Here is a 14,523-nt window from a genome sequence, read left to right on the forward strand (position 1 = left end):
TTTTTTTTTTTTTTTTTTTTGGAGACGGAGTCTCACTCTCTGTCGCCCAGGCTGGAGTGCAGTGGCGCGATCTCAGCTCACTGCAAGTTCCGCCTCCCGGGTTCACGCCATTCTCCTGCCTCAGCCTCCTGAGTAGCTGGGACTACAGGTGCCTGCCACCACGCTCGGCTAATTTTTTGTGTTTTTAGTAGAGTTGGGGTTTCACCGTCTTAGCCAGGATGGTCTCAACCTCCTGACCTCGTGATCCACCCACCTCGGCCTCCCAAAGTGCTGGGATTACAGGCGTGAGCCACCGCGCCTAGCAGGATTTTTTTTAAATCTGCACTCACTTCTTAGGGTAGCTCATCCGTCCTCATGAATGATCCACTCCCATCTCCAGCAGGCAACTAGATGTTAATAATTCCTAAGTTTTCATCTCCACCCCCTGATATCCACGTAGATTTGAACATAAAGATCCAAACATAAGCTGGGCGCGGTGGCTGACACCTGTCATCTCAGTTATTTGGGAGGCAGAGGCAGGAGGATCACTTGAGCCTAGGAGTTCGAGACCAGCCTGGGCAATAGAACAAGATTCCATCTCTTCAAAAAATTCTAACATAAAGATAGAGAAAAGGGCCTTGAACACTTAGAAATTGGAGCCAAAGAAGAAATGTTAGCATAAGGAGTTTTCGTAGAGAAAAACAGAAATCAGGACAAAGCAGTGTTATAGAAGCCAAGAGAAAAAAGTACTTGAAGAAGAAGAGAATGGTCAATTGTGGTGAATGTTGAAAGAGCCCTGGTGAGATAAAAACTGAACAATGGTAATTGTAATTAGTACCACGTGGTCATGGGTGGCCTTATCAAGGATGCTTTTGGTGGTGTGAAGGAGGTAGATGCTGCGTTAGAGACGGTTAACGTATGGCTGGAGATGAGGAAGTGAAGACAGAGATCCATCCAAAGAGAGAGGCCGGAGCTAAGCAGGTGCCATCCCTGGAGAGTCAAGAGATGAGGGTAGCAATTTCTCAAATGCACTGAGCTTCTTTCATACTTCCATGCCTTTGCATATGCCCTTCTCCCTGCCAAGAATGCCCTTCCCATCCCTATTTGCTTGAGTCATATCTACTCCTTTTTGAGAACCTCACTCAAGGGTCCAGCCTTACCCACCAGCCCCTTCCCTGCACTAGGTTGGCTATTTCTCCTCTTTGCTCATTCATTTCCTCCCTCTCACCACTGTCATAACTACTGGTGATTGAATAACATTCTTTCTTTCCCACTGAGTTTGGAAATAAATGGAAGTATAGGCATAGAACCACACAGATGATATCAAAATGCTAGCCTTATTATAGGTAAAGCTTGATTGGAGAATATGGGTTGACCTGTGGCCAATTGAGCTTCATTAGACTTTGGCTCCAGATCTAAATTTTGGGGCAACTCTGCTGAGGCCAGCCATTCACAGCCAAATGCAAGGAGTCCCTGCCCCACACCTATGAGCCTCCAGAGAGAGATTTGTCCTTCCCGATCTAGTTAGGAAGGCAGGTCTTGGGCCTAACCCAAGCTTTCTTACACCTTGGATGCAGGGGCAGGCAAGCAGATAAAGAGAGACAGTGAGAGAGTGGGTGGGTCAGGGGAACTCAGCCTCACGTTGGATGCTTTCTCCGTCTTACTGATCTGGCAAGTCACTTCTCTTTACTCAGGAGGAGTGAGTGGGAGAGAGGCTACAATTTCTTTCCAAGAGTACATCCCCTGGGGTGTGGAATCGAACTTTCCTCATGAAAACTGGCCGGTGGGAGCAGAAATTCCACCTCATAATGCCATCGCCCCCTTGTCCTATCACCATAAGTTTGTGTCCATCTGCCCCCTTAGAGTGTGGACACTTGAGGACAGCAATCTTTTCTTGTTCATTCCTATCCTGAGAGCCTATTGCAGTGCTTGGGACACACTAGGTGCTCAGTCTTTATTTGTTGAATGGTAAATGAATAAACATCAGGTTAAACCAACGGAGTTGTCCAAAGGCCCTACAATATGTCCTGACTCCTCTTAAAGCTGTCTAACAGATTTGCAAAACACCTGAGGCTTATCTCTGTGTTAAGCTGAGACCAATGACAGTGAGGGGAAAGAATGATCAAGTTCACAAATTATCCTTTGGTTTATATTTTAATTCCCAAAGATAAAGGGTACTTCAGTTAGATCATGCTTTCTGTCTCTTTTGCAGGTGTTAGCTTATGAAAACATTGGCTGAGCTCAGCTCCCTGGTGTGAAATGCAAGTCCTGGGAAATTGAAACATACTTGTGTGTGGTAGCCTGGTTTCTTTTATTAATGGCCACTAATGGTCAGCAATCAAGCCACACCTGTGAGGGACAAACAACAATTGGCTTGTTTGCTTGAAGGGAGTATAATTTATGAACTTGCTGATTGTTTATTCTCTCTCTTGAAGTATTAGCTAGAGACATTTGTGCAGAAAAAGAGAGAGAGGAAAATGCCCACTTATCTAATTTAATAGGCAGTATAGAGTTATCATGGCTTTGGAGTCAGATAGCGTCGGCTATAAAACCCCACTGTCACTAACTAGCCATAATTACAGCTAAAGATCCTATTTCTCATCTGTTAGGTTGTGGTAATCATACCTGTCTTTCAGAGTTGATAGTGGAGGTTAAACAACTCAGCATTGTCCGCAGGCCTCCCATAATAGGAGTGCAACACAATTCCTTTATTATTATTATTATTTTCTTATTAGGAATTCAATGTGGAATTTTTTTCTTTATTTATTATTTAATATTTTTTTCTTTTTAGGAATTCAATGTTGGACATCGTTTCATTCCTGTGCCATTCTGCTATGTTCCTAGGAGTTCTATCAATCTATTTAACATTTAAAAGTAGTTGCATCAACATCTCTCTCTCTCTCTCTCTCTCTCAATTCATGCTTTGGCCTCTTAGAAGTTTCCCTCTAATCTGAGTGACAGAAGAAGAAAGGACTCCTGATGGGGCTCACACATAGGTGGCTGCAAGATGCTGGTGCAAGATAGAGATGGAGCACTGAGCCCGGAGCCACAGCCCAGACCTCAGGAGTGGCAGGGGGAGCCAGGCTCTGAGGTGTGGGGATTGGCCCAGATCAGAGCCGTGCAGCTCTGCAGCTCTAAGGTCAAGTGTTAGTCCACTAGGGCAGTCATAACAAAATACCAGACAGTGAGTGACTTGAACAAGAGAAGCTTATTTTCTCACAGTTTACTTCTGTTCTCACAGTCCAAGATCAAGGTGTTAGTAGAGTTGGTTTCTCCTGAGGCCTCTCACAGCGTGTAGATGGCCGTCTTCTCCTTGTGTCTTCAGAGTCTTCCCTCTGCATGTCTCTGGGTCTAAATTTCCTGTTTGTATAAGGACACCAGTGAGATTGGATGAAGGCCCACCCCAATGACCTCATTTTTAAGTGATCACGTCTTTATAGGCCCTGTCTCCAAATGCAGTCACATTCTGACGTTTTAGGGGTTAGGACTGCAGCACAGGAATGAGAGGGGATGGAGTTTAGCCTGTAACACCACAGAACCAGTGCCTGAGGGAGAGAGTCCAGGATACAGGTGAGACCTGATGCTCTGAGACCCAACAAATGCATCCCATGTGAGATTCTGTCTCCTCCACTGTCTGGGATTTGGTCTTGGGGCAAGCTACAGAGAGGGTCCTTCTCAAAGACACCTTGGCAATGACACTCTTTCTCCCTTCCTTCTTCTCTCTGTTCCTCATTCTAGGAAACATATCCACTGTTACACTGGAAAAAGGTCTTCTGAAACTTCTTCTATGCTCTGGCCTTTCCTCCAAGGCCTTGACATTTGATACTCCAAAGCATACATTTCCGAAACTCTGAAAATCTTCTCTGAAATACATTGCTTCTACCATGAGTTTCAAGATTGTATTTTAAAATTTGGAAGCCAAGAATTGCCATCATCTTTGTTCCCTTTCTTGTGGCATTCTTTGAGGCATGGGGCTGGAAATCCCTTGTTGCCTGAACTAGGAGGAAACCAACCACGAGGCCAGAGAAATTGGTCAGGGAGCAGGGAGGGGACACGGTAATTCATATAAACAGAGTATAGCCTCTGAACTCTGTCTTCTCGAAAACCCTGGCTCACTAAGATTTCTGTGACACCTCAACTGCTGGGACAGCTACTAGTGTGCCAGTCACTTGACATTTATCTTGATAATCGGATTACAGATTTCTGAGGATCAGGGACATATACCCATCTTTGCTGTGCAATCCCGTATTCCCTTTGACATAAAGGAAGTACGTAATCATTGATATCATACAGCTGCATTCAAATCCTGACTTTGCCTCTTTTTAGCTATTTGCTTAGGCAACTTTAAGCAAGTTGCCTAAGTTCTCCAAGGCTTAATTTCCTCACCTGTCAAATGTGCTAATAATGATACCTACCTCTGGGAAGAGCTGCTGGGAAGACCGAATGAGATACAAGATGTAAAGTACTTGGGACCATGCTTGGCACATGTAACTGCCAAAAGATGTTAGTCATTATTATTTAAAATATTTGTAGATAGATTAATTGATAGGGTGTGGGTTTAGCTACAGCACGGTGGTGGCAATGGTGATGACGTGGGGAAAAAAGGAAAAACGCATTTTCCGTGCAGTAACTATATTTGGCAACAAGTCTTTCCAATTCTCTGTAATAAAAGGATTTTGTTTTGCTCAGAGCCCCCTTTGAGTCTCATAATAATGCTTATATATAGTGCCTTTTGTCCCAGAATCTTGGAGCAGCCCTGAAATCAAAACACAACAAGAGTTGGATGGTTGCAAAAATAAAAGCAACGATTTGCTTTTGTTTTTGACACAACTCTCCTTCCTTTCCCAGTTTGCAAGCTGGCGACTAGATATGAACATGTATGTATATTTGACTTGAGTCTATGTCTAGCCACGGACAATAAATGATAACAGCTGCTTGCAGCTTGGCTCTGGGACGTGGAGTGATGTGAGAGGCAGATCTCATGATGTTCAGAAGGAGAGCAATAAGAGAAGGATGAGCAGAAGGAGTAGGGAAAGCCTTTACTGAGTGCCTACTAGGGCCAAGAATTGTATAGAGGCTATCTCATTTAATCCCAACAGCCACTGTCATTTATAGATGAGAAGGAGACTCAGCAAGATTAATAATTTATACAAGGTCACACAGCAATTAAGTGGTAGAGGAAGGTTTCAGATTCAGGCCTCTCTCAATCACAAAACCCATGTCCTATTGCATTAACACATTGCTTCTCTCTTTCTCTAACAGTATTTGTCTTCACTTTCAAAGAGCGTAAAGTGAAAGAAAGGAGGAAGTCCACACCCTTGGGTTTGGGGGCATCGGATCCAGTGTGCAATGTGAGAAGTAAAATGAAGAGGAGAAATGATCTAGAGAGACTTTCTGATGAAGCAAACACCAGATATCCTAGAATTTCAGCAAATCTAAGACTCCGTCAAGTGTTAGATGCCCCATTATTTTATGTATTATTAATAAAGAAAAAAACACTGCCAATTATAATTGGCATTGATTGAAAGATACATCCAGATTTCAGAGGTATTCAAGTAGGAAAAGCATGCATCTTATAATTGATGATAGATCGCATTTATTGGTATCTCTTTTCTCTTCTGTATTAGTCAATATTTAACACGGGATACAGTTAACTGTGTCCTGTTAACCTGTTAACCTGCTAGGTGTTTAAAGCACAAAGGGATTTAGTATAGGGATTAAAAAGCACTAGCTCAAGCATTGCAGAACTGCCTTGTCAGGGGAGCCACCAGCTCTGCAACAATCTAAAGGGGAAGAATGAGGAGGCTGCCACTGGGGCTAGAGAGTTTGAGAACTCTGCAAGAGTGTTAGCCAACTGTACAGTTGGAGAGAACATAGCCTGTAAGACTTCCCTCACTTCTGAAATTAATTGCAAAATCTGAGGGGCTCCCTAAACCTTTTTCAATTTGGATAATTTGCTAGAAAGATTCCTAGAACTCATTAAAAGCTGTAATACTCATGGGTATGGCTTATTACAGGGAAAGGTTACACGTTAAAATCAGCCAAGAGAAGAAGCAGAGGCTAGAGAGGGTTCCAAATTCACAGTTGCGTGGTCTTCTTTTCATGGAGTTAGGATGGTGTTTCTTCCCAGTATCACTTTGTGAAAATACACATGGAGTGCTGTGGACCAGGGGGCACATCCAAGCCTTGGTGTCCAGAGTTTTTACTAGGACTCTTGTCACAAAGGTATGGTTGTCCATATGGCTGATCTCAGTCTCTGGTCCCTATGGACCACACTGATACAGTGTGACCCAAAGCACTCACCCTAAATTGCATTGCTGGTGTTTCTGGCATGAGCAACCAGCATCCTAAGACCATCTGATATGACCAGCCCCCACCCTACATTATATTTAGACTATCTGGTGACCCAAGGCCCCCAGGCAAACAAAGACACTTCTATCGAGGATGATATTCCAAGGGCTTCCAATTGCGGAGAATGAAGGCCAGACCTCTCTTTGGGCAAGTTCCATATCTTTACTACATAAACTCACAACTATATCAGGAAGCTGATACTGTTACCAACCCAACAGATGAGTGTCTTCTGACAGTCATGACATTAGGGACAAGGCAGTGGAACACGGCTGTGGAAAAATCCCAAGACAACACCATGACCATGTTGCCACCTCACCCTGCCCTCCAAATCTTCTTTGAGGACTTTAACTGGTGGAACTTTTTGCATCCAGAGCCCTAAGTACTAGGGTTTCTGGGAAGCGCAATTTTTAGTTTTGCAGCCTGTGCAGTAGGAAGGTACAGAAGAAGGCAGTAGAAATGGATGCTGAGTGTTGACAGATCATATCGAGCACACCTCCCAACAGGAAGGCAGAAAGCAACCCACCTGCAGGCAGCTTACAACATCCTCAGCTCAGAGAATTTCACCAGGGCACTGGGAAACAATTCAGTCATTGTGGGAGGCCCACACATTAAATTTCCCTCTGTTATTAATCCCTCAGGATTTCAGGAAGATAAAATAGCCGTGGCATTTTGAAAACCAGCTCAGAAGATATAAGCATATGAAATGGTGAGTGTTTGGTGAACCGCACGGTAGAGTGGTTAAGCATTTGGTCTTCTGAGTCAGTCGAAACTTTGGCTTAAGGCCCAACTGCATCATTTACTAGCTGTGTGACCTTCAGCAAGTGACTTACCTTATCTGAGCTCCAATATCCTTATCTCTATACTGGGGGTAAAGTTACCAACCTCCTAAAATATTGTGAAGATTTCTGGAAATGGTGTTTATAAAGTATTGGTGCGGTTCTTGGCAAATGCTTCAAACTCAATAAATGGAAGCTGCCATCGTCAGTGTCATCATCATCATCGTTACCATCATCACCACCACTGATGTCATTATCAGGAGGAAGAAAAGAAGAAGGAAACATTTTCTAGGCTTTTAAAACTTGTTTCATCCACTTCTGACCTCAGAATAATTACAATAATCTATTACTGTGTCATAATATCTAAAAGAACCTATCTCTACCATTGTGGGAGGAACCATATTAGTTCAGCAGAGTAACTGGGTTCACGCTGCCTTCTCTACCTTCTCAGGCTTCTCTGTGAGGCTTGGTAGAACGATTTACTCTTCTTCCTGCATTCTTACTGTGTGGAGTCTGTGTGCCTCCAGTTAGCCCTCGCCTCATTACCCTTTCCTGTGTCAACAGCTGTGATTGATATCGGGATGGATTCGAAGTGAGGCAGCTAGCAGCGTGACCTTGAGCAAATCAGTTCATTTCACTGGGGCTTTGTCTCTTCATCTGGACACTGGGGTCGTATCACCCACCTCACAAGGTTACATGAGATGGTTTTCCCAGCATGTAATAGGTTCTCATAAAGATCATAGTTACTAGAATTAGTGGACGTGTCTGGTTTTCCCACTGTATTGTAAACGTGTTAAGGACTGTATTAGTCTGCGCTCATGCTGCTAATAAAGTCATACCTGAGACTGGGTAATTGATAAAGGAAGGAGGTTTAATTGACTCACAGTTCAGAATGGCTGCGGAGGCCTCAGGAAACTTACAGTCATGGCAGAAGGGGAAGCAAACACGTCCTTCACAGAGCGGCATCAAGGAGAAGTATGAGTGAGGTGGGGGAAAGCCCCTTATAAAACCATCAGATCTCAGGAGAACTCACTCCTACCCATAACACGTGGGGATTATGGGAACTATAATTCAAGATGAGATTTGGGTGGGGATGCAGCCAATCCATATCAGACACTCTGCCTGACACATGGTAGATCCTCAAAAGTCCTTGCTAAAAGGGAAATAAGGGTTCTGGGCACTTGGGATGAGATAAAGCATCAAGAGCAGGTGGGGGAGTACAAACCAGGGTCAGGGTACTCAGAAGACCCTGATCACATTCTGCCCCTCACTCCTCTCTCCTTTCCTTTCTCCCAGGAAGTAATATTGTCTTGGGCTTTTCTTAGGCCACTTACACTGAGTAAGGACACCCTAGTGACTTTGTTCTGGATAGATCAAAGCCCTTCTCAAACATTACCTCATCTGCCTCCCATCAGCCTGGGGTGGCAGAGAGCCGGTTGGCCCAGAATGATTGCTCCCATTCTACAGATGAAAACAACAAGGACAAGGATGCATAAACTGACTCACGGGTTGAATCAGTGCCTCCTGGGCAGCCCGCCAGGACGATGTTGCTTCCTAATGACTATGGCGTTTGTTTGAAGTTTATAGATTGGGTTTCTGCCACGGTGGAGCCAACACCAACCTCCTCACACTTTCCCAAAGTGCCTGGATTATTTTTATTTTTCTATACCTTTGTGTTAGGGCTCCCAGAGATGAAAAAAAAAAAGGAACTCTGGGGTCTCACTATGCAGCAAATCAATACAGATCCCATGTATAAATTTTTAGTTGGTTTGCCTTTACTGGGAAGCTAGAAGATTTTTATTCACTAGGTCACCCTGCTTCATCTATGATGACCCCTTAACCAGGAATCTCAGTACTAGGCTATGATAGCATTCTGTACAAGTCTCCACCACTGTGCTAAAATTATTTCTTTGTAAGGACAGTCCTCATGTATTGAGGCTGGGCATAAAGGGGCAGTAAAAAGAACATTTGGAAGTAGATTCAGGGGACCAAGAATCATTGTCCAAATTCTTTGAGATTTTTTTCCCCTCTAAGAATTGGGGAAACAATATGTGTGAAAAATCACAGTGCCTGACAAATAGTAGGGCCTCCTTAAGCATTAAACCAGGGTCCCTGGAATTTGGCTCAATCCCTGGCTCACAGTAAGTGCTCTGTAAACATTTGTTTGGACCGTATAGATATTTTGAATATATGGCAGGATTACTTTTATGAACCTTTCCTGCCTAGTACAATTCTTAATTTCTTCTTCTTCTTCTTCTTCTTCTTCTTTTTTTTTTTTTGTTTGAGACGGAGTCTCACTCTGTCGCCAGGCTGGAGTGCAGTGGCGCGATCTCGGCTCACTGCAACCTCCGCCTGCCGGGTTCGAGCGACTCTCCCACCTCAGCCTCCTGAGTAGCTGGGATTACAGGTGCCTGCCACCACACCCAGCTAATTTTTTGTATCTTTAGTAGAGACAGGGTTTCACCATGTTGGCCAAGCTGGTCTCAAACTCCTAACCTCGTGATCCGCCAGCCTCGGCCTCCCAAAGTGCTGGGATTACAGGCGTGAGCCATCAATTCTTAATTTCTAAAGCCCACCAACAGCAAGTCCTCGCTGGTCAATCTTATGTATGACCCTGATCTTGACACCAAGCTATCAACTCATAAAAACGTGCCAAGGGTCTGCTAGCTTTGAGAGTTGTATCCCCATCTATAGCATTTCAGACATGTTGTCTCTGTGACAGCAGCTTGGACTGGTGACCTGCCATGCTCTGCACTGGGAAGACATCTCAGCATGTGTGGATGATGTTGTAGGTGCCGGCAACTGCCTTGGAACAGGGCTGCACGTAAGGAGTGTTTAACAGTGAGCCATCAGATCAAGGGTGCCAGGGCCAAGAGCTCCAGAATAAATACATTCCATTCTTACCTTACACTGTTGCTGATTTAATTGTGCTTTAAAGTCAGTCAATTGTCAACCCAGTGTGGAAACAGGGATGTTTCTTCACGTGTCTATTGTGAGGTTAGGGGAACATGGTCACACTATGACAGATAAGTCCTGTTCCAAGTTTTCTTAACATATGTGTGTATTTGTGTGGGTGTGGGTGTGGGTGTGTGTGTCTTTCTCTCAGTGGATTCTGGCCACAGAGTCTTGCTGGGGGATTCCACACCCATGAGATGTGTGAATCTTGAGACTTTTTTGCTGACAGATTTTATCGAGTGCTCACCTTGCCCATGCTCTGTTAGGGTCTCAACAGGAAGCAGATGACATAATTCCAAATAGGGTAATTTGAGGAAGGTTATTTGCAATGAGACTATTTACAACGGTGTTGGGGGTAGGAACCACGAGGGAGGATGCAGTAACTTGTGGGTCAGCAGCAGCCGTGATGTCATCACTTCCAGACCTGAGGCACAAAGGGAAGGGCTACTACCGCAAACTGGAGGGAGGGCCAGGGAGCAGTGACCTTCAGCTGAGGGACCTGCCAACTGGAGGTGACCTTGCCAGTCAGGATCCAGGGGCTTAACCTACTCTAACCAACCTTTCTTTTTCCTCCAATCTTCTGTGGGGTTCTCCACTGGGCACGCCCCAAAGCCAGGGGGCACAGGGAGCGCGAAGTAATTTGTAGAGGTCAGCCTCCTGGGGCAGAGGGCAGGCAGGAGAAGTATTTGGAGCAGATGAGGGTATCTGGAGGGGAAAATGTAAGACATCAGGCACAATATTGCCCTGTCTAATGGACAGAGTGATTCCAGGTTTTGTAGGGACTGAAGCTCACATAATTTTGGGGGATCTACTTTAAGAAAAATCAGCTGGGTGTGGTGGCTCATGCCTGTAATTCTAGCACTTTGGGAGGCTGAGGCGGGGTGGATTGTTTGAGCTCAGGAGTTCAAGACCAGCCTGGGCAACATGGTCAAACCCTGTCTCTACAAAAAATACAAAAATTAGCCAGAAGTGGTGGCCTGTGCGTGTAATCCCAGCTACTCGGAGGGTTGAGGTGGGAGGATTGCTTGAGCCCAGGAGGTCGTGGCTGCAGTGAACCGAGATCGCGCCAATGCATTGCAGCCTGGGTGACAAAGTGAGACTATATCTTTAAAAAAAAGAAAAAGAAAAGTAAAATCGACAAATAAACCCCCAAAGCTATGTAAACTCATTGAGGGACCTGCGCAAGTGAGGTCCTGAAGCTTACGCTTCATTGGCTTCATTGTTAATCTCCCTCTGCCTGTGACTTCAGTGATTTTGACCTAGAACAATGACCCAGTGCCCAATAAGCTCTCAGCCTCATGGGTGATGGAGACTTAGCTGATTATAATAAACACAATGCGGCCGGGCGCGGTGGCTCACGCCTGTAATCCCAGCACTTGGCGAGGCCAAGGCGGGCGGATCACAAGGTCAGGAGATCGAGACCATCCTGGCTAACACGGTGAAACCCCGTCTCTACTAAAAACAGAAAAAAATTAGCTGGGCGTGATGGCGAGCGCCTGTAGTCCCAGCTACTCGGGAGGCTGAGGCAGGAGAATGGCGTGAACCCGGGAGACGGAGCTTGCAGTGAGCCGAGACTGTGCCACTGTACTCCAGCCTGGGCGACAGAGTGAGACTCCGTCTCAAAAAAATAAATAAATAAAAATAAATAATAAACACAATGCAAACTGTGGCATACGTTGATTACAGATGAAACACTATAGATGATTAGGTAGACATTGAGATATGCTTTGAAATAGGCTTCGAAAAACAGGTAGGATTTAGACACATATCAATGAGTGGGCAGAATAATACTAACACTATCTGCTATTTATTGAGCACCAACTAAGTTTAAAGTACTGCCTATAGATTATTTCATTTAATCCTAACAGAAACAGGAAACTTATTTTACACCCAACTCTCTGCCAATACACTTAATAAATCAAGCTACTACGAACAAGGCTGTAAACCACATTTCCTAGAAGACCAGGGAGCAGAAGGACGGGGATCTCCCTTTGCCGCTAAGAGACTCCAACTCCCAGGATGCCTTGGGAGCGCTGGACCACAGCTCCCGGCATTCCCGGGGAGGCGCGGGGCTAGCGTAGCCTCCGCCCCGCGCCTCGCGTTACCACTCGTCCCGCCCCTCCTCGTCGCCTCCGAGCCAATGGGAAGGCTCCATACTGCAGGGTGCGAAGGGGCCGGCGCCGCTGCCGAGTTACGAGTCGGCGAAAGCGGCGGGAAGTTCGTACTGGGCAGAACGCGACGGGTCTGCGGCTTAGGGTAGGGAGGCCGCAGGCGACACGGCTCGAGGACTCGCGCGCCGAGCCGGGGGCGCGGAGGCGGGCGGCCGGGGCTGGGGCCGGCACTGGGCCTTCCGGGCGGCCTGTGGGTCCACCGGGGTGCGGGAGTCGCCGTCAGCCTCGGTCGCCCCGCGGGACCGCGCTCCGCCGCGTGGCTTCCGCCTGCGCGGGCGTCCGCTCCTTCCTTGTCTCGTTCAGGCCCCGCAGGCGCCCCCGGGGATGCCTGGACTGGCCAGGCCGGCCCCCATCTGAGCTCCACGTTCTGGACGCGCGTGGTGTCGCGGCCGAGCTCGCAAACGCCGCCTCGGGCCTCACCGGGAAGCCGGTTCTGTCAGGCGGGGCTCCGGGTGAACAGCGCAGGCGAGGCCCCTGCCCCGCAGAGCTCACTCTGTAGAAGGGAAACAACACACGCAGCTGCGATGTTTTGCGGATACGGAAATGCTTTCTTAGAAACGGGACAGGCAGTTGCGGGCTAGAGGAATGGGGGCGAGGCTCTTTAGGTTAGGTGATCCGGGAGGGCATCTCAGAGGATGTGACCTTTGACTTGAGACCTGAGAGGGGAGGCCGACCCCTGAGGATAGCAGCCAGGCCTGGGGACCGCGAGGCCGCCCGTTATTTCCCTGTCACATCGCGGGGAGGCCCCGTGATCCTGTACTTGAGGGTCTGTCTGGTGCAAGGCAGTTAGAGCCGCTTGTGTGTTTTGCAAGGGACTTTCATAACCGTTTGACAGTTCCTCCTCATTCTGTCCTTACCTGGCAGGGTGGCATCCTTTACTGTTGCAGCTCCATTCAGGGGCAACGCATAGTTTTTCCTACCACCGAAATAGTATTGTGGTTCTCGTCTCAAAACTCTTAGGTGGTAGAATTAAATTCGACAGACAGCAGCAGAGTCAGACACTATAGGTTCCTGTTGAGGCCACCCATTTTTCTGATGTCCTTTCTTTCAAGTCACTCATTTTTGTTTTCCTTTGTATAGACTCTTCCCTTCCCTTTCCTGTGTCCCTTTCTTGGAACAACTTGGAAATACAATTTGCTATTGGGAGGATGTTGGTTTTAGGGAACTGTTGAAGAACTTCATTAATTATTGTGTGTGTGTTTTTCTTTTCTTCTTCTTTTTTTTTAAACTGGAATTGCCCATCTGTTGAGACTGAAATTCAAGAGTAAAAAAAAGTAGGGCAGCATTTATTTTCAAGAGTTGACAATAAAGGCACCTTTCTTTATGACATGCTGAGCATGATACTTTGGGGGAGAATTTAATCTAGAATTTTGAAGCATTTTCAGAAGGAAGCAAGGGTTCTTTATATAGTCATTTTATGTAGGTTACGTTTATGTTCTTCAAAATGGCATGTAGTGATTGGAATTAAATTTCTGGGTAGATAAGATTATGTTCATCTGTTACCTATAGAAGGGAATGTAACTTAAGTAGTCACTTAATAATAGCTTTCTCTGTTGATGCTACCACAGATGGTATTCTCTACATCTCAACATTGCTGATCAGATTCTGTGTTAATACAGTAACACAACTTGAATTTAATAACAATAAACTTGTGTTAGGCGTTACTGTCAATTTAGTTCTGGTATCCAGTACAAATACCAGTTTTATAGTGCAATGTCTTCTTGTTATGTTCAGTGCTGCAAAAATTATGAGAGGATATTTGTTAAACAAATGAGATAATGGAGTAATGTGTTAAGCATAGAGCCTGGCATATAGTAAGTTAGTAAGTGCCCAGGAAATGGTTATATGGAAAGCTTATGCTAAGTTTTATTCCAGTATGCAAGTGTGTATTTTAAAAATAACAGTAATGCATTCAAAATGTTGACAGACCCTAAAATTAAATTTCTTAAAGGAAATAGGCCAGCTTTTTTTTTTAACTTTGAGAACTAATGTGAAATAATAATAAATATATAAGTGAAATGTCCCAGATGTCTAGAAATGAAAAAACAAGATTTTAATTTTGACAGCTATATTTTTTTTTCTTAAAAGCATCCCTAATAAGATATAATGTACTATGATTAGGATTATGATTTGAAAAATAAAACTTTAAAAATATTTTTGATTTGAAAAATAAAACTTATTTGGAAATGAAGCGAAGCTTTAAGATTTACCTTATATCAAATGAAGGATGTCTCCTGAATTTATGCAAATGTGCAAATGCTTATATCTCCGTAGATCAGGCAGTGAGCCTA

At 45.2% G+C, this 14,523-nt stretch overlaps 1 protein-coding gene and 1 long non-coding RNA gene across 6 annotated transcripts in view, besides 4 other annotated features; both read left to right on the plus strand.

Moving 5' to 3' along the window:
- LINC02299 (long intergenic non-protein coding RNA 2299) overlaps positions 1–5,483 on the plus strand; it is a 49,423-nt gene extending 43,940 nt beyond the window's left edge. Inside the window, exon 4 of the long non-coding RNA NR_146552.1 lies at positions 5,242–5,483. This is a non-coding gene — a long non-coding RNA (long intergenic non-protein coding RNA 2299). The remainder of the gene's footprint in view (positions 1–5,241) is intronic.
- Positions 12,134–12,333: a silencer, noted in NCBI's record as "silent region_6058". NCBI's record gives its function as "represses an Ori minimal core promoter by ATAC-STARR-seq in GM12878 lymphoblastoid cells {active_cell/tissue: GM12878}" and the evidence as "EXISTENCE:reporter gene assay evidence [ECO:0000049][PMID:35858748]".
- Positions 12,252–14,523, plus strand: part of VRK1 (VRK serine/threonine kinase 1) — an 84,228-nt gene continuing 81,956 nt past the window's right edge. For all 5 annotated transcript variants that reach the window (NM_001411051.1, NM_003384.3, XM_047431755.1 and 2 more), the window contains exon 1: positions 12,252–12,317. The gene's annotated coding sequence lies outside the window, so the exon portion shown is untranslated. The remainder of the gene's footprint in view (positions 12,318–14,523) is intronic.
- Positions 12,344–12,633: a silencer, noted in NCBI's record as "silent region_6059". NCBI's record gives its function as "represses an Ori minimal core promoter by ATAC-STARR-seq in GM12878 lymphoblastoid cells {active_cell/tissue: GM12878}" and the evidence as "EXISTENCE:reporter gene assay evidence [ECO:0000049][PMID:35858748]".
- Positions 12,344–13,109: a biological region, named in NCBI's record as "H3K27ac hESC enhancer GRCh37_chr14:97264045-97264576".
- Positions 12,578–13,109: an enhancer, noted in NCBI's record as "H3K27ac hESC enhancer chr14:97264045-97264576 (GRCh37/hg19 assembly coordinates)". NCBI's record gives its function as "activates a minimal SCP1, AML or CMV promoter by ChIP-STARR-seq in primed H9 embryonic stem cells {active_cell/tissue: H9 hESC(primed)}" and the evidence as "EXISTENCE:reporter gene assay evidence [ECO:0000049][PMID:30033119]".

The sequence above is a fragment of the Homo sapiens genome, chromosome 14 (assembly GCF_000001405.40).
Source record: "Homo sapiens chromosome 14, GRCh38.p14 Primary Assembly".
NCBI lineage: Eukaryota > Metazoa > Chordata > Mammalia > Primates > Hominidae > Homo > Homo sapiens.